At 35.8% G+C, this 19,640-nt stretch overlaps 1 protein-coding gene across 9 annotated transcripts in view; it reads left to right on the plus strand.

Moving 5' to 3' along the window:
- The window catches only part of SLAIN1 (SLAIN motif family member 1), a 66,543-nt gene extending 47,815 nt beyond the window's left edge, over nucleotides 1–18,728 (plus strand). For 7 of the 9 annotated variants that reach the window (NM_001411026.1, NM_001242868.2, NM_001366665.1 and 4 more), the window contains 4 exons: nucleotides 1,013–1,354; nucleotides 7,702–7,857; nucleotides 15,327–15,609; nucleotides 17,644–18,728. In NM_001411026.1, coding sequence (NP_001397955.1) covers nucleotides 1,013–1,354; nucleotides 7,702–7,857; nucleotides 15,327–15,609; nucleotides 17,644–17,719 — 857 coding nt within the window. In that variant the 3' untranslated portion in view covers nucleotides 17,720–18,728. The remainder of the gene's footprint in view (nucleotides 1–1,012; nucleotides 1,355–7,701; nucleotides 7,858–15,326; nucleotides 15,610–17,643) is intronic. The other 2 variants (NM_001242869.2, NM_001242870.2) reach the window with 1 other exon arrangement.
- The last annotated feature ends 912 nt before the right edge of the window (nucleotides 18,729–19,640 follow it).

Genomic DNA, 19,640 nt, shown 5'->3' on the forward strand with positions numbered 1-19,640 from the left:
TGGTTCTGCGATAAAGTTACAAAAAATTATCTGGGAGTGAACTAGTTGAAGGGCATTAATGGTATCAAAAGGCACAGAACTGGAGTGTTTGTTTTGGAGTTATCTTTTCCACCAACATAAGTAGAAATAATCAAGTATCATTTAAGCATAATAATTTCCTGTTTTCAGAATTAGTCAAGGCTTCTATGAGAAACATGGTAATGCTTATGCAGGATTTAATAGATACATTTTTAAGGGGAAAAGTGGTTATTTTATATAATTATTTAGTAAAAGCAAATTTAAATACTCTTTCTAAAAATATATATGGCTAAAAGATTGTATGTCAGTTTCAGAAGTTAAGTAGTCAGGGATAGACCACTTTTTTTAAAAATTGTAGTACTGGCAATGGGTTAAATAATGAGAACTTTGTAGTTTGACTATTTTTAGATGATTACCTTATAGGATGACCTAAAACTATTAGAAGTATTGAGGTGTCAGTGTGCTTTGAAAGAGATAATATTAGTAACATAAAAGAACAATAGAGAGATGACCTTGTGGGAAAATATTTGTACCTCGGCTTTTAAACTTTCCCTTTGACTTTAAAAGTTGGGGGTGGGGAGCAGAATGACTTCCTACTTGGGCAGAGATTTGAAGATTTTAGTTGTTTTAACTCATAGCAAACTATTCATAATGAGATGAATATTTCTTCCTAAGTTCCCCTTCTAAAATATCTCTTGATTTGAAAAGGGGAAATTGATAGATATTAACGAATGAGCTGTGGCAGGTATATATAATCCTCACTGGAATTGGGGCAATCTTTTTGCAAAACAGAATTGTCCAATATTAGATATCTGTTTCATAGGTAAATGTGATTATTGTCTTGGTAAACTTGTCAATTTAGTAAACTTGAGAACAAGATAATAAGTCTCTGTGAGTAATTTATTTGGCACAATTTTTCATCTAATACTTGGTTAATTATAACTAAATGTTAGCTAGATCAAAATACATTAGAGTACTATTTGTTATTTTATAGGTCTCAGGCAAGATTATGCTTCTACTTCAGCATCTGTATCAAGACATAGTTCCAGTGTGTCATTGAGTTCAGGAAAAAAAGGGACATGTAGTGATCAAGAATATGACCAATACAGTCTGGAGGATGAAGAGGAATTTGATCATTTGCCACCACCTCAGCCTCGTCTTCCAAGATGTTCCCCTTTCCAAAGAGGAATTCCCCATTCACAGACTTTCTCCAGCATTCGGGAGTGTAGGAGGAGCCCCAGTTCCCAGTATTTTCCTTCAAATAATTACCAGCAGCAACAGTATTATTCACCTCAAGCCCAAACTCCAGATCAGCAACCAAATAGGACCAATGGAGGTAGGTTGTATGCTTTTTTGGTATTTGATATGCTTTAATTTTTTTATATGTGGTCAAGAAATGGTTTTTGTGTTTTTGTTTTTGTTTTTGAGACAGAATCTGTCTCTGTCTCCTAGGTTGGAGTGCAGTGGCACGATCTCAGCTCACTGCAACCTCCACCTCCTAGGTTCAAACGATTCTCCTGCCTCAGCCTTCCAAGTAGCCGGGGTACAGGCATGTGTCATTATGCCTGGCTAATTTATTTTTTATTTTTTATTTTTTATTTTTAGTAGAGATGGGGTTTCACCCTGTTGACCAGGCTGGTCTTGAACCACTAACCTCAGGTAATCTGCCCGCCTTAGCCTCCCAAAGTGCTGGGATGACAGCCACCATACCCGGCCAAGAAATGGTTTTAAGAGAAATATAGATAATTGGTCAATGTTTCTCAGATTAAAAATCATCCTCCAGACCTTCTCAGTTTGGTCTAAATTTGCGTCTCTAATTGACTGGCTTCTGATTACGTGTCCCAGATTTATAAACGCACAGCCTCAAGAAAACCTTCATGACATAGCTGGCTCGGAATGAGTTATAAATGTGCGGCATCTCTGCATTGTTGCTGGTGCCTGTGGCAGAGGCAGGGTTGTACAAGCTGAGAAGTTTGTGGTCAAGCCCATGGAGGCAAAGTCTGTGAGTTGTCATTCCTTACCTTGTCCACAGCCTTCAGTCTCTTACTGTCTGTTCCTAGCACAGAGTGAGGTTGTAAGCATGAATGATGATGCTTGCAGAGGATGCTGCTCTTACACAGCCAGATCTAGGCAAGTTTGGGATGTGTCTTTCCCTCTGATCTCCTGACATCTAGAATTAAGATCTGTGTAGCAGCAGGAACATGGAGGTTGCTTTCCATTAGCATTTGACAGGGTAATGGGAAATTGATCTGTCTTGTCAACATGGTGGGTTGCTGTCTGTGTCATTCGTTTATTCTATCTCTTCATCATTTATCTTTCTTCCACACTTGCAGAAGTTGGACTCTGACTTCTAAGAACTATGGGAGAAGCAATCATGTAATATTCTAAGCCTGTTGTGTTTTTGTACTAATGATCACCTGAACCCTCACACATAAATTCTATATATTATGGAGAAACAAACCAATAAAAAAATTTATAATTATACAATTACAGTTCTTAATTATTATATAGCACTATTTCTCAAAGCTGGGTCCAGATGTGATCAAATGGTCTTTAAAAATATTTATAGGCCAAATATAAATTTTGTATTAGTGATCAGCCATAACCCTGTATTTAGTTTTTACCCTTTCTTCCTTTATACTGGTATCATTCATGCTGATGCTAATTAAGAGATCATTTGGAAATATTTAAAATTTTGTATTTGTAATTTCTCTTACTACCTTGAGATTTCAAGTTTAAAGGAGTGGTGGCTAAAAAATGTCATCATGACTAACATATTAAAGCTCATAGATCAGAAAGACAATGTATTCCATGTGCTTAGTGGAAGTCATAACATCTTATTAAAATTGAGAGGGCACCTAGAGTTATTTCTCTAAAGCTTTTTTTTTTTTTTTTTTTTTTTTTTACTTAAAGTGTTTTAGAACATCGTAGTCAAGTTGCCAAGCAGATGCTAGCTCTGCATCTTGATTGATATTGTCAATGGGATCATTTTTCTCCGCTTAGCTGTTTGTTGCACCTCAGAAAAGTGGTATTCACTTCCATCAAACACCGTTTGAAAAGGATTAGGTTTCTGTGAATCCTGTGCTGGGATACTCTTCACAGGAAAGTGGAGACATATCACAGTTTAGGTCCCTTTATGGTAGTTTTATTTTGCCTAAAATGTCTAGTTTTCACAATACAAGAAAAATGGAATACAAAGGCAATCTTCTGGATATGACTTCTGACTAATTAGCTTAATGGTTGAGAGCAGAGGCTCTGAAGTCCAGTAGATCCTGTGTTTCTCAACTGTCTAAGGTTCGGTTTCCCTAACTAAAATGTGGACAAGATGATATCTGTCTCTTAGGAAACTTAGGTATAATTTCACACCAAACCATCTGGTACACATTTTCTCCACCTAAATATATTATAAGGAATAAATGAAATAATGAATGTTACATTGCATGTAGCCTGGAGTGGATGTGCTAAATAAAGGTTGTCTTCTCCCCTTTTGTTTTTAAACTTTTATTAACATATGATTCAGATGTCCTAGCCTGCATTTGTTACTATAGAATATTGAGCAAAAAACTGAAATAAGAATGGTAACTTTGAAGCTAATCTATTAAATATTTTTCTAAATTATCAAAATAATATAGATAGAAAATAATTGTAAACTGTTGATTCATTTTAAAATAATTGAGAATAAACTAGAAATGTATATTAATATTTACTGCTTTTGTAGTTCCTACACTGCCTAGATTTAAAGAGATGGTTCATAAAACTTTCTGGGATATTTCTGAGATTCATAGAATTAAAAGAAGCATAACTGGAATAACTTGCTAAATATCAAAATGACTCAACTTGTAGAATCTTTACCAACTTTTTTATAATTCTACGGTATGGCAGGGGTTACTGGAGGCATGATGTAGTCCTTATTATCATGAGGACCTCCCCTGGAGCCTGTGTTGCCTGGATGCCTAGATCTAGCTGTTTGGTGGACAATGAGTGTCTCCTTTAGTCCTAAAGATTCCTGAGTCTTTGTTCATAGAGTGATGAGTCTTGCTGCCTCTTTAATGTGAGCAAGCTCATTTGAATTCTTTACTTGGTCTATTCTTCCAGTTTCCTGCTGCATCTCAGCCCTTGAAGATTAAACTGCTGATTTCTTGTGAAGATAGAACTAGAACATTACTTTTGGTTCCCTGAACTTTAAAGAATATGTGGTTATTAAAACGTTCCACATTGTTTGACAGGAAATGTACCTCATTTCCAGATGGTCTGACACAAGTTGGAGATCACAGCTTTGTTCCAAGGGGAATAGTGTCCTAAATATTTACACTTGGAAGACCTTATTTTTAAGAGCATATTTCAGGATTAAAGCTTTGTGAAACTGACTTGTTGCTTAAATATGAGTAAAGATTGGTTTTAAAGACTAACACAGATTAGAGGCATAGCCAAATGTAACGTATGGACCTTGATTGGATCGTGGTTTAGAGGAAAAAGCTTGTGAAAGATATTCTTGGGATGTCTGAAAAATTTTGTATGCAGATTATCATATGATATTGTTAATTTGTTTACATGTGATTACAATATTGTGATTCCATAGAATTTTCTCAGGAGATCAATATGCATTTAAAGTGTCAAGATGTCTGAAGTTTTATCTTGTTTAGCAAAGCAAACAAAAGTACATGTGGAGATGAATTAAATATGGCAAAATGGAAACAACCAGTATAGCCAGGTGGAAAAACAGGTGTTTATGATACTATTTTTTAACATTTCTATATGTATGAAAACTATTATAGTAAATAGTTGGAGAGAGATTTTAAAAAGAAATATAGAAGCTCAATTAATTTTCTCAATAGCATATAATTATGTTCCTGTGCCTCCCTGCTGCTTAAAAATATATGTATTGGAAATATGTATAGTGAAAATAGTCTAGTACTGATAGAGGCTGTCTTTTTTACACCAGTTTTTGTAATAGTCAAAAGATCTAGATATGGCCACTAAGATTATGTAGAGATGAATCCTTCTAATTCCTCCCTTCTTACTACACACTGTCTGCCAAATCATACACATAATATTTGCTGATATATAAAGTACCTGCTCTGTGAGGCTGGGAACTTTAATAGGAATTTGGGAATACGAGACGTATGATTGTTAAAAATAGGCATCAAGAAGATAATGAGGAAAATTGCCAAGGAATCTAACAGTCAGTGGCAATATTTGAGCATCCTTACTCTAGAACTACACACAGAAAGTAATGTGTGAGAGGTAGATACTTCCAGCTGGGAAGTCCATAGAAAAGCTTCTCTATGGTGGGGATAATTGTGCCAATTCTTAAAGTATTAGTAAGACCCACATGAGTAAAATATTCTTTTGTGCTTTCTACCATAGCACTCTCTACAATTTTTTATGCTCTCTTATTATACATATTATCTAAGTATACTTATTGTGCTTGTTTAATCTTCTGCCTTTTCCACCCCAAGGGAGCAAAAATTGCTGGACATGGCAACATTTAATAGGTGTTAGTAATGTCAAAGGAGTAGTGTATGAAAGGGGAATAAGAAGAGCTGAGTTTGATTTTGACTTGAATGCCTTTTGGATTAGCATTCAAGTATATCATTATTTTCTGGTTTTGCTTGAAAGAAAATGACCACAAGATTGAATGCTCTGATATGTGCACTTTAGTGTTTTGCGGTATATATCAATAAAGATAAAAATATCTTGTAAGTTGGAGGGGTGAAAAAAATTTTAGATATTACAATGATTTATGATCTTCCATGGTTTACCCCTATCAAAATGTTAATCTTTAATATTTATTTTATTTGGGAAAAAATTTAATTTTAAGTTTAATTAAATTTATTTTAGATTTTCTCTTTAGGATCAACAATGGGTGGGGAAGGATTGAGAAGCACTGGTCTAGACTATAAACCTAGACCATAAATCTTGACTATAAACTCAATGAGACTCTGGACTGTATCTGCCTAATACACTGTGGTATCCCCAACAGCTCACAGAGTGTCTGGTATTTAGTGTAAACACAATAGATGTTTGTTCCCTTGTTCATTTGTTCCTTCTCCAAAGTGAGGTTGGGTGTCCACATGGAGGGACCAGCCTGCTCACAGGTATGAGAGAGTTCACCCCTGTGGTCGGGGAGCAGGCTGAGAGGCCAGGCTGGAGAAGTATAAAGAGCCTGGGCCTTGAAGCCCTCATCTGGGCTGTGCTCAGGAGCTTGGCCTTTCAGAAGAGGGAGCAGGGGAGGAATTGAGGAGTTGGAGGGATTTCAGCAAGTGGGTGACGCATGCTGTGCTCTAGGAAGAGTGGAATCGAGTACTTGAATTAGTTTTGTCCTTGAATTAGTTATGGCTTAGTACTCGTATATATGCTTTTTTTTTCAGTTTAAATGACCTGACATAGGTACTTTAGTTTTTGGGGGATGTGTATTGATCAAGGAAAAAGTGTCTCATAGAGTTGTGGTCTTGTGGCTGGCTTATTTCACATGTGTTATTTCACACATCTCAACATTGAGATCTGTATGTGACTCTCTGCTGCCTCTTGGTGGCAGAAGATGAACTTAGCAAGGCAAAAAAATTGAAGCATTCTCTTGGTCTTTTTTATCTGCAAACATTTGGTGGCGTACTCATGAAAGTTAAAACTTTCCAGAGATTAATGTGGTCATGTTAATGTGATGAGTGGATATTTCAAGACATCTGAAGTTTGAATTTTATTAATTTGTTCCATTTTGATATGGTAGCAAAAGATTCAGTAAATGTTGGTTTTGATTCTTCTAGGGTTCTTTTTTTTTTTTTTTTTTAAGAAGCATGTAACTTAATTTCTAGGGTTGTTTTGGTAAATTTAATGGCTATAAGATTATTTTCTAACTTTTTAAATATAGTTTTAGCCACTTATTGAATAGGAACAGATAGCTAACTGCTTAGCTAGTCCCTAAGTCTTTTTATAGAAGTTTCGTTCTCCTTTAACACATTGTATTAGTTAGGGTTCTCTAGAGGGACAGAACTAACAGGATAAATGTATATATGAAGGGGCATTGATTAAGGAGTATTGACTCACACGATCACAAGGTGAGGTCCCATGATAGGCTGTCTGCAAGCTGAGGAGCAAGGAAGACAGTCGGAGTCCCAAATCCTCAAAAGTAGGGAAGCCGCCAGTGCAGCCTTCAGTCTGTGGCCAAAGGCCTGAGAGATCCTGGCAAACCACTGATGTAAGTCCAAGAGTCCACAAGCTGAAGAACTTGGAGTCTGATGCTCGAGGGTAGGAAGCATCCAGCACAGGAGAAAGGTGAAGTCTGCTCCTTCTGCATTCTTCTGCGCTTTTATCCTAGCCATGCTGGCAGCTGATTAGATGGTGCCTATCCAGATGGAGGGTGGGTCTACCCCTCCCAGTCCACTGACTCAAATGTTAATCTCCTTTGGCAACACCCTCACAGACACACCCAGGAGCAATGCTTTACATCCTTCAATCCAATCAAGTTGGCACTCAATATTAACCATCACACATGCTTATTTGGTGGGAACCCTTCTGGTTGGGAAGGGTGTTTTCCTGTACAATAGGTTAGAAAGCTTGATCATCAACATGTAATAATTTGTATTTATTATTGAGCACAATATGACTTTTGTTATTTGCTTTTGAAAGCTAGTACTTTGGTTGCATAACATCTGTCATTTTTAACTTAGTAAAATTCTTTTCCAGATAAGCTCCGAAGAAGTATGCCTAACCTAGCCCGGATGCCAAGTACAACTGCCATTAGTAGCAACATTAGTTCTCCGGTCACCGTGCGAAATAGTCAGAGTTTTGACTCAAGCTTGCATGGAGCTGGAAATGGAATTTCAAGAATACAATCTTGTAGTGAGTATAATTATTTGATATAATTATATATTGTATAATTGTATAATTTTTTATAATTTTTAATTGTAAGGAAAATGTCTGTTTTATTTCTTTGTATTTACTTGAAAGAACACTAAACTTTTTTCCTTGCCGTGTAACTTATTTTTTTATTTCACCATTAGAGTTGAATAGTATTTTTACTATTCAAATAGTATATTTACTATTCAACTTACCAGTGCCTGTGGTATAAATTACTTACCAGTGCCTGTGGTATCAATTAATAATAGTAAATTGTTATTTGTATAATAATAGTAAATTATTTGTAGTCCTTTATATCCTAGGATAGTAGAAGTACTACATGGTGATTGATTTATCCACTCATCATACAAAAATTGTTTTCCTTGCAGATCCTCCTCCTTCTAGCTGTCTACCTGAATAAGCACACTTAATTCTGTTTAGCCGTTCCTTTTGTCTTGTTTTTCACCTATGCATACTTTTGTCTTTTTCCCCCTAAATGAAGTTATATTTTAGAGTGTCTAAAGTAGTTTTTGTCCACTCTATTTAGCTTACCCCACATTCTGTTACTTACTTTCTATGTTTTACCCAGCAGTGAGTGACACAGTTAGCATTAGGCCTAGTGCTGTGTATCTTCACTTTATGTGGGGATGTGCTGCTTCGGCATCCCCCTATTCCTACTCATGCTGTCTATATGGGTTGTTGCAGTTAAGTCTTACACTGACTTCCAGGAGGAAGGCACAAGGTTATATTACCAGTATTCATAAAAATGCCCAAACTTGGGAGGCTGAGCATGTTCTGAGTGTACTGGCCAAGAGTCGTCAACCGGATGTTTTAAGTCTGCATCCAAAATGGTTTGTAGCTTTTCTCCCTCAAACTTAGTTTTAGGTGTCAGGTTGTATCTCCCTAACATGCAGCGATCTTTCATTTCTTTATGTTTTAGTTCCTAACAACCAAGTGACATCATTTACTCTGTACAAGGAACTGTGCTAACTAGTTTATATTCATTATCTTATTTAGTTCTACCAACAACTCTATGAATTAGTTTCTACTGCCATTCTTATTTTGTGGAAGAGGCAACAGTTCTGATAGGTTAAGGAACAGTTTGTCTAAGGCCATACAGTTGGAAGAGCAGAGAGGCAGACCTAGGTCTGGTTACTCCCAGAGCTTTTAACTGCTATCATATTCTAGCTCCACGTGCTGTTCTTCTCTGCCTAGCATTCTTCCTTTTCCTTCTTCGTTCAGTTTACTCCTATTTACTTTTATAACACAGTCCAAATACCATGCCTTTGGAAGTCTTCATTGCTTACTTAATCACCCTAACACACTTTCTCAAATACCCCCCAAACAATACTAGAGTGGATTAGATTTTCGGTGCTTACCTCTGTTATTCAATGTACCATGTTTTACTATTAATATGTTTGTCTTCCTTACTAGATTGTAAGCTCCCTCTGGGCTTGGGCCATCATTTATTTGATTTTCTGTTCCCAGTGCCTGACGTATTGCCAGAACATAAGGAACTCTCAGTGAATGCTTGAATGAATGCCACAGGATTCTATGTTAAGGCTTGACCTATTAAATATTTAGAACCAATGACTTGTATAAGGACACATAAACAACCTATGAAATTTGCCAATAGTAGAAACCGAGAGGACTAACAACTCATTTTATGTCAGGAGGTTAGGAGAATGGGCCAAATGTATCATGAAGAAATTTAGCTGATAGAAATATACAATTCTATGTCTGAATTACAAAAATCAGTAACATACCAGCCTAGGCAATATGATGAAACCCCGTCTCTACAAAAAATACAAAAATTAGCCAGGCATAGTGGCACATGTCAGTAGTCCTAGCTACTTGGAAGGCCAAGGTAGGAGGATCACTTGAGCCTGGGAGGTTGAGTCTGCAGTGAGCCAAGATTGCACCACTGCACTCCAGCCTGGGCAATAGATAGAATGAGACCCTGTCTTGAAAAAAGAAAAAAAAAAATCAATAGTGTAAGTGTGGGAGGGGAGAAATACAGTTTGGAGAATAGCAAATATAGTAACAATTAGGAATTTTTGTTGACTCCAACTCAATGTGTATTAGTAGCAGATTTGAGTGCCAGAAAAATGTATGTAGCCCAAAATAGAATGTACACTGCAAAGAATGTTCAGCCTTGATTGAAGTGCCCCCAAAATGACGGGAAAATGTCAAAAGGATACAGGAACCAAGTTGAAGGAACCTCCTAATGGCCAAATTTGGGGCAGTTTGAGCCACAGAGTAAATAATTATAGTAATGGATTATAACTGATGGAATAAAATAAATATGCATGGGTTCATACTTAATTGGATAAATAGAGGGGAACATCCTCTTTGTAGTAGATTCCAATTCATGCGTGTAAAAGCAATGAGGAAAATATAAAAATCATCATTTCTAAGTCAAGCATAATACTGAGAGAAAGCCCCCAAGAAGAATATTAAAGTGTAGGAGAAGGAGGACTCTCATAACTTTTGTTTCAAATCTTAAGATTATGTTCTCATTTACTTTCATTTCTGAGCATTCTAAGCCACTGTTCTTTATGCATTCTAAGTTCCTATCATGACAATTTCTGGTTCTGGGCCATTTTGCTTTCTGGAAAGAACAGAGGTAGGATAGAGAGTTGGAAAGGCTGCAAGTATAGAAGGAGGAACACAGTTGTAGTCAAAGACCTGGTTTTGGGTCTTTTCTTAATCATAAATTCTTTGGAAAGTTAAGTATTCTTTCTCAGTCTTGTTTTCTCAGTTGTAAAATTAGGATTATGCCTATTAATTCTAACTAGTTTCTCTTATGTGTTTTTTTTTAAATCAAGGGTGGTTATATATGTTACATGTAGGAGAGATAGTAGGACTCTATTCCTGAATAAACTGTTCTGTAATTTCATTTCAAATGAAATTGGTTGGCATTTCATTGACTCTGCAGATCAATTTTTGGAAGATCTTAACAATATTAAGTCTTTGCATCCATTAATATGTAATAGTCCTCCATTGACTCAGGTCTTTAATATCAGTGAAGTTTTGTAGCTTTCTATATAGAGGTTTTATGTTTCTATAGTTAAATTAATTTCTAGGTATTGTGATTTTTAATAAGTAGTATTTTTATAAATAGTATTTCCTCAGGTTTCTTTCAGTTTCTACTAGTTTGCTGGTATTTTGAATATAATTGATTTTTGTGTTTTGATATTGAATCCAGCAACTTTGCTAAATTAATATCTCCTAATAGTTACCCAACATAATGAGTGCATATGATCACCAAAACATGTTCAAGGAGGTTCATAAAACCCCAAATTAGAAATAACCTAGCTTTCTGTCATCAGGGGAATAATCACATTTATACAATGGAATACTGCTTAGTAATACAGCAACACAGGTGAATCTCACAGACAAAGTGTCGAGTGAAAGAAGCCAGATTAAAAGGTTAACATACTAATAAGTCTATTCCTAGGAAGCTCAAAATAGGGAAAAACAGTCTGTTGTGATAAAAGTGGGAATAACACTTACCTTTGGGGGAGTTTTGACTAGGAAGAGGCATGAGAGAGCATTGTAAGGTGCTGGTGATGCTTTTTATCTTGATATGATTAGTGGTTACATGAACATATGCACTTTGAAAATTCACTGAGCTGTAGACTTAAGATGTATGTATTTTATGTATATTATGCTTCAGAAGAAATTGAGCCAAATTCATGTGTTGAAGGTTTTTAAAAAATTAACACTTTTTTGGAGCAGTTTTCAGTTTATAGAAAAATTGAACAGGAAGTACAAAGAATTCCCATGTAATCCCTCACCCTCTGTATCTTCCTAGTTTCCCCTATTATTAACATCTTGTGTTAGTGCAGTAGACTTGTTACAGTTGCTGAACTAGTATATTAAATATTTGCATGGTTAAAAACTAGCAAATTAAGGCATTACAGAATTGATTAGAAAGAATCTTAGAGATGATTCGTCAACCAAGAGGACTTTGCTGTGTCACAAAGCTAAATGGGAACACACCTAAGGGAGGATCTTACATAGACTTTATTTTTATAAAGCTTTTTGACTACTATACACATGTATCAACATTTCTTTTTTTTTTTCTTATTTCAATAGTTTTTGGGGTATAGCTGGTTTTTGGTTACATGGATAAGTTATTTAGTGGTGATTTCTGAGATTTTGGTGCACCTGTTACCGAAGCAGTGTACACTGTACCCAATATGTAGTTTTTATCCCTCACCACCCTCCCAGACTTCCCCACAAGTCCCCAGAGTCCATTATCTCATTCTTATGCCTTTACATCCTCATAGCTAAGCTCCCACTTACATGAGAGAACATACGATATTTACTTTTCCACTCCTGAGTTATTTCACTTAGAATAATGGCCTCTGGTTCCATCAAAGTTGCTGCAAAATATTAATTTGTTTCTTTTTATGGGTGAGTAGTATTCCTTGGTGTATATATACCACAGTTCTTTATCCACCCGTTGGTTGATGGGCACTTAGGTTGGTTCTATATCTAAGCCATTGCAAATGCTGTTGCTATAAACATGCGTATGAATGTGTCTTTTTTTCAAATAATGACATCTTTTCCTTTGGGTAGATACCCAGTAGTGGGATTGCTGGATCAAATGGTAATTCTACTTTTAGTTCTTTAAGGAATCTTCATACTGTTTTCCATAGTGGGTCTACTAATTTACACTCCCACCAGCAGTGTAAAAGTGTTCCCTTTTTGCCACATCCACACCGAATCTATTGTTTTTGACTTTTTAATTATGGCCATTCTTGCAGGGTAAGGTGGTATCTCATTGTGGTTTTAATTTGCATTTCCCTAATGATTAGTGATGTTGAACATTTTTTCATTTGTCTGTTGGCTGTGTATCTTTTTTTGAGAAATGTCAATTCATGCTCTTTGCCCACTTTTTGATGGGATTAGTTGTTTTTTTTCTTGTTGATTTATTTGAGTTCCTTGTAGATTCTAGCTATTAGTCCTTTATCAGATGCATAGTTTGCAGATATTTTTTTCTACTCTGAGTTATCTGTTTACTCACTGATTATTTATTTTGGTGTGCAGAAGCTTTGTAGTTTAATTAGGTCCCATTTATTTATTTTTGTTTGAGTTGCCTTTGCTTTTGGGATTTTAGTCATGATTTCTTTGTCTAAGCCAATGTCCAGAATAATTTTTCCAATATTATCTTCTAGAATTTTTATGGCTTCAGGTCTTATATTTAAGTCTTTGATCCATTTTGAGTTGATTTTTGTATAAGGTGAGAGGTAGGTATTCAGTTTCATTCTTCTACATGTGGCTTGCCAGTTTTCCCAGCACCATTTACTGAATAGGGTGTCCTTTCCCCAATTTATGTTTTTGTATGCTTTATTGAAGATCAGTTGGCTGTAAGTATTAGGGTTTATTTCTGGGTTCTCTATTCTGTTCAATTGGTCGATATGCCTATTTTTATAGCAGTACCATGCTGTTTTGGTAACTATAGCCTTGTAGTATAATTTGAAGTCAGTTAATGTGGTACCTCTAGACTTGTTCTTTTTGCTTAGTCTTGCTTTGGCTATGTGGGCCGTTTTTTGGTTCCATATGAATTTTAGGATTGTTTGGATTGTTTTTTCTAGTTCTGTGAAGAATGATGATGGTATTTTGATAGAATTGCATTGAATCTGTAGATTGCTTTGGGCAGTATGGTCATTTTCACAGTATTGATTCTTCCATTTCATGAGCATGGGATGTGTTTTGTTTGTGTCATTTGTGATTTCTTTCAACAGTGTTTTGTAGTTTTCCTTGTAAGATTTTTCACCTCCTTGGTTAAGTATATTTCTAAGTATTTTATTTTATTTTTTATAGATGTTGTAAAAGGGATTGAGTTCCTGATTTAATTTTCAGCTTGGTTGTTGTTGGTATACAGCAGTGCTACTGATTTGTGTACATTGATTTTGTATCCTGAGACTTTACTGAATCCATTTATCAGATCTAGGAGCTTTTTGGATGAATCTTCAGGGTTTTCTAGGTATCTAATCATATTATTGGTAAACAGTGACAGTTTGACATCCTCTTTTCCAATTTGGATGCCCTTTATTTCTTTCTCTTCTATAAGTACTCTGGCTAGGACTTCCTGTGTTATGTTGACTAGAAATGGTGAAAGTGGACATTGTTGTGAAGGACGTTTTGTTCCATTTCTCAGGGGGAATGCTTTCAACTTTTCCTCGTTCAATATGATGTTGACTATGGGTTTGTCATATATCGCTTTTATTACTTTGAAGTAAGTCCCTTGTATGCCTGTTTTGTTGAGGGTTTTTATCATAAAGGGATGCTGGATTTTATCAAATGCTTTTTTGTATCTGTTGAGATGATCATATAGTTTTGGTTTTTAATTCTGTTTATGTGATGTACCACATTTACTGATTGGCCTATGTTAAACCATTTCTATATCCCTGGGATGAAACCTGCTTGATCATGATGTGTTATCTTTTTGATAGCACATGTATCAGTATTTCTGTGTATAGATTTTGCCTTGTATAATTAAACACATTTTTTAAGGAAAAAAAATTTAAGGAAAAACTATTTTTAAGGAAATATTTTCAAGAGATGATAAATAAAACCATAGATACTTTTTTGGGTCTTTTTCCCCCTTATATTTATTTCAAAAAAGTATTTATATATTTCATGATTAAGTAAATTCAACTGTTTTAGAAAACAGGGTATGTCCATGTTTAACCATGTTGCCAGTACTAGGCATCAAAGGCTTGGGTAGTTAGTATGTAAGCAGAATTCTGTGCATAAGTTTCTATTAAATTTGATTGTTTTCCTTGGAGAAAGGGATTAAAAAATTTAAAAACTTCTGCCTACCAGTTTGTTACTTTTAATGTGAAATGATACACAAAGTTGGATCAGTATATTGATGAAATTTTTAAGGGTTCTTATCCAGAGAGTTCCCAGTGCCCTTCATTTTATAGGTTTTGCTACTATTATAAATGTAATAATGCCCAGCAACTCAGATAGATAAATGACATAATGAATATTATTTAAGGAATATATCTGTAATAAACTGTTTGTACCTACAGATACCACCTTGTCTTCTTTTCTGTAATTACAACTATTAAAGTATCTCCTCATTTTATTTTCTTGGAACCACCACCAAAGCAAGCATCAAGAAATCCTAATGTCTAGCAAGCAAACGGGGAAGACTTTCTCTTGTGAGAACTCAGACATCATCACATTTGTAAAGGAAAGGAGGCTGTGCTTAGAACTGGCTTCTGCATATAGCCAGGCACTCCAAAATGTGGCTGATGGACAGACCAGGAGATCTTTGTCAAGGATTAGAATTTTCCATTTCTCAGTGCTGTCTGGAACCTATATTCTGTTTTTCTCCTCCTGTGTATATTGTACTCTCAGGCATAATGGACTCTTCTGAAAATAACACACATTTCCTAAGTCGGATAGTGGTAGAAGGTTGCTCACATGAATATCATTTTCTCTTCTAGTTCCATCACCGGGACAGCTTCAACACAGGGTCCACAGCGTGGGGCATTTCCCAGTGTCTATCCGACAGCCTCTTAAAGCCACAGCCTATGTGAGTCCAACCGTTCAAGGCAGCAGTAACATGCCTTTATCAAACGGCTTACAGCTGTATTCCAACACAGGAATCCCCACACCGAACAAAGCTGCAGCTTCTGGGATAATGGGTCGCAGTGCACTCCCAAGACCTTCGTTGGCAATAAATGGGAGTAACCTGCCTCGAAGCAAAATTGCACAACCTGTTAGAAGGTAAGAATGTGTATTTGCGTAACTTCATTTGCAGTTTGGAACTAGAAACTGCTCCAGACACACGCTGACTTTTCCTTTGGCTCACTTTAACCTTAGTAAGACACTACCCTTTATGGCCTGACTTGTGCTCTCCTCCCTTTGAAAAGTGATGGATATCCCTGTGTGGGTCAGGTCCCCTTCTCTCTGATGTCATTTTCTTCCCTTACTCCCTCATCACTATCACTCCTAAGACGCTCTTTGCTTTTGCTTTTACCAGATAAGCTCTGTCTCCAGAGCTTTTGTAGCTTTCTGCTCCCAAGTTATTTGCATGGCTTGCTCTGTGCCTCCCTCAGGTCTTTGCTCAGATGGCAGCTCTATCCAAAAATTGTAGGGCGGGGGGAGGTTGACTTTTTGGTTCATTGCTGTGTATCCCCGATGCCAAGAACTATGCCCAATACAGGTAGGATCTCAAATATTTGTTGAATCAGTCATTTTTAATCAAAATATGGAAAAATGTGTCAGGCGTATGTGCACACGCACACCCTCCTCCCACACATTTATGGTTTGAAAAGCATCTTAATGACATTCACCTGGGGCTTTATCAGCTTATGTTGGTAAGTTCAGTATGGTCCAGGTAGTAATTTTTTTTTTTTCCCTTCAAAGTTTCAGAGTACTTCAAAGGACATTTAGTCTAGCTCTTGGTCATGATGTTCCCTTCTTGAACTGGATATCATGGAGTATCTTATATTAAAAATCCATAAAAGTGGTTTGAGGAGAGATTGGTAGATGAGGAAATAAAGACAATAAATACAGACAGCTCTTTCAAGAAATTAGGATATGAAGGAGAAGGAGAAAACCATAGTAAAAAGTTTGAAAGAGGTGGAACAAGCAATTTTTTTCTGTCTTTATGCATTTATGGATATATAAATAGTTTTATTTTGTTTTGTTTGTTTAGAAGTAATAGATGCTCAGATCAACAACAAATTTCGAAAAACAGAAACTATTGAAAAATAGAAAAGTAAAGACTGACCCATAATCCTACTGCCAGATAGAAATAATTTTGGTACATGTTTATTTATTCAGTAAGTTTTGGCTTATTCTGCTTTGTAAATGCAGAGCTGTGTCATCATGCTGATGGCTGACTAGAATCACATTATTTGATGTATATGGTTATTGTAGACCATACATTTATCCTTGACTATGTGTCTCCAAACTAAACTCTTGGAAAGGTCACTGCTAGACAATGTGAGATGGTCTATTTCCCCAAACTTAAGCAAATGCTAGGTATTATTCTTTTTAATTGTTTTAAATTTAAATTTTTTATTTTATCTATTCTTTTTAGAGACAGGGTCTTGCTCTTTTGCCCAGGCTGGAGTGCAGTGTTATGGTTGTAGCTTGTTGTAACCTCAAACTCCTGGGCTCAAGTGATCCTCCTGCCTTGCTAGGACTACAGTGCATATCACCACTCCCAGATAATTTGAAAAAAAAATTGTAGAGACAAGGTCTTGCTATGTTGCCCAAGCTGGTCTTGAATTCCTGGCCTCAAGTTTTCCTCCTGCCTCGGCCTCCCAAAGTGTTGGGATTATAGATGTGAGCCACTGCACTCAGCCAAAGATTCTTTTTAAATGTTTTGCGAATATGATAGGCAAATCTTCAATTACTAATAAGGTTTTGAAAATGTCTTCATATTCATTTGCTGTTTGTATTCAACAGAGTAACCATTTATGTTTTTAGGTCATTTTTCTAGCCAGGATCCTATATTTTTCTTATTTTAAAATATGTTTTATACATTAAGGGTATTGGCCCCTTTATTTATGTTGCAAATTTTCTTGTGCAAATACAACATGCATGACACTTTGCCATGAACTGGGGCTCTGGGAGATAAGCATGCAGTGAAGACCCGTAAGTGTGAACCACAAGGTACACTTGAGATGGTGCCAGTGGCTTCTCATTACTGCAGTGGAAGAACATAGATGGGAGAGTAGGTCAAAGTGAGTGATGTGACTCATAGGATTATTAACAATCTCTCTCTCTGTTTTTCTTGTCTCTTTTTAGTTTTCTTCAGCCTCCAAAGCCTCTGTCTTCACTCAGCACTCTGAGGGATGGAAATTGGAGAGATGGTTGCTACTAATGCAGTTTTATGTACCCTTGAAAAATGGGAAAGAAGTAAAAATGAGGGTTGTGTTACCTAGCTGGCTGGGTAGCAGTGGATGTTGGGATATTCTTTCCCTTTTGTGTTTTAATATATTTACTGCATTGTTTCTCAATGGACCAGTCACCAGAGACTAATTATTGCACTTAAATATTTGCCTGAGATACTGCAACATTCTCAAACCCATGGTTGCAGTATTGTGACACTTAGATCTAGGAAGTTTTTGTAGAACTGCTCTGTACCTGAATACTTTTTGAGAGAATTAAGATGTATCAATAATGCTTTGCCATATGAGTTTTTTAAAGTAACTTGTTCAATTTACTCACGTGTTCTAAACATCTTTCCATTACATGTTCTGTATTTTAATACATTGCATATTGACAACTAGGTTCTATAATGTATGCTTTGAAATTTACTTTTTTATAGTTTACAGGAATTTTATTTTTTGTGCCTATTTCTTTTTACACCTATGTGAACCACTATGGAACAACTTAAATTTTGTGCCATAAAAATATTTTTGTGGTAAGGTACTATTTTTTTAGCTCTAGGGATATATCAGCAAAAACACATCATGCAATTTGAGACACATAATTTTGTGTTGAATGAGCACAACATAATTTGAAGCATTGCAAGGAGATAACCAGACAGCAGAATTAAATGGTCCTGTCTTTTTCATTTTTAATTTATTGTCATACATGGGTTTCATATTTATAACGGCATCATGAGCTCATTGCACTTAATACCTGCAATGTTTGCTACTGTACCACAATTGATTTTCAATACTTTATTACGAAGGATGAAACTGTAATGTTTTATTAACAATGCTTCTGGAAATGAATGCATTTTAAAGCAAATAAATCTTTTTGATAGACCTTTTACAAAATCCATTTGCACTAATGAATGCTTTCTTATGGCATATAACTTAATATTTGTTACTGTGTACACTGCTGTTTTGGAATGTTCAGAAATAAAGACTCTATTTCAGCAATATCAGGTCATGCATGAATGTACAGCATAAACAGTGTAACTACACATGTGTTTCACTACAATTGTGAAAATGCTTATTGTTACTCTGTTCTTGTGCAGGGCATTTATATCTCAAGCAGGTAGACTTAGAATATTCACATTTGTAAAATTATTCTTCTTTTCCCAAGTACTCCTGATAAGAATTGTATGATTTTTCTTACATTAGTTTTAGTTAGGTAGTTTTACAGGGAGGTTTAGGTCCATTTAAAGAGGCCACTAAAACTCACGCAGCATGTTGCTGAGAAACACATTTACAGATGAACATTGTCAGTGGAGATTTTAATATTTTATAGGAGTTGAATTTGAAATACTTTCTCAGTATCAGTAAAATAGCAAGTACTATCCTTATTCTGCATTATATTTGATATATGTTGGAAAACTTTACTTGAAGGTACTGTGGGAAGTTTAGGCAAAGATTTTTAGGTTAGGTTTTGAAATGGAGTTCTACCTATAGTCATTAGAGGTTTTTAGTTTTTTTAAAGTGTACCTTTGTATGTAATTCTCTCTAGAACTAAAAGGAATGTTTGTTTAAATAACTTGCACTTTAAGTGGAATGTGAGCTAGAGGAGGTAAGATATGAAAAGGGAAGTAATATTTATTAAGCACCCCTTCAGTCAAAAGAACTGTGCAAGATATTTTATATACATTTGTCTAGGACTAACTTTCACCTACTATTATCACCATTTTAAAGATGAAGACACTAAGTCCCACAGAGGTGATTATTTGTCAGTTTTTGCATCACTATAAAGGAATACCTGAGACTGGGTAATTTATGAAGAAAAGAGGTTTAATTGGCTCATAGTTCTGCAGGGTGTACAGGAAGCGTGGTGCCAGCATCTGCTTGGCTTCTGGTGAGGCCTCAGAAAGCTCACAG

Source organism: Homo sapiens, chromosome 13, assembly GCF_000001405.40.
Source record: "Homo sapiens chromosome 13, GRCh38.p14 Primary Assembly".
In the NCBI taxonomy this organism is placed as follows: Eukaryota; Metazoa; Chordata; class Mammalia; order Primates; family Hominidae; genus Homo; species Homo sapiens.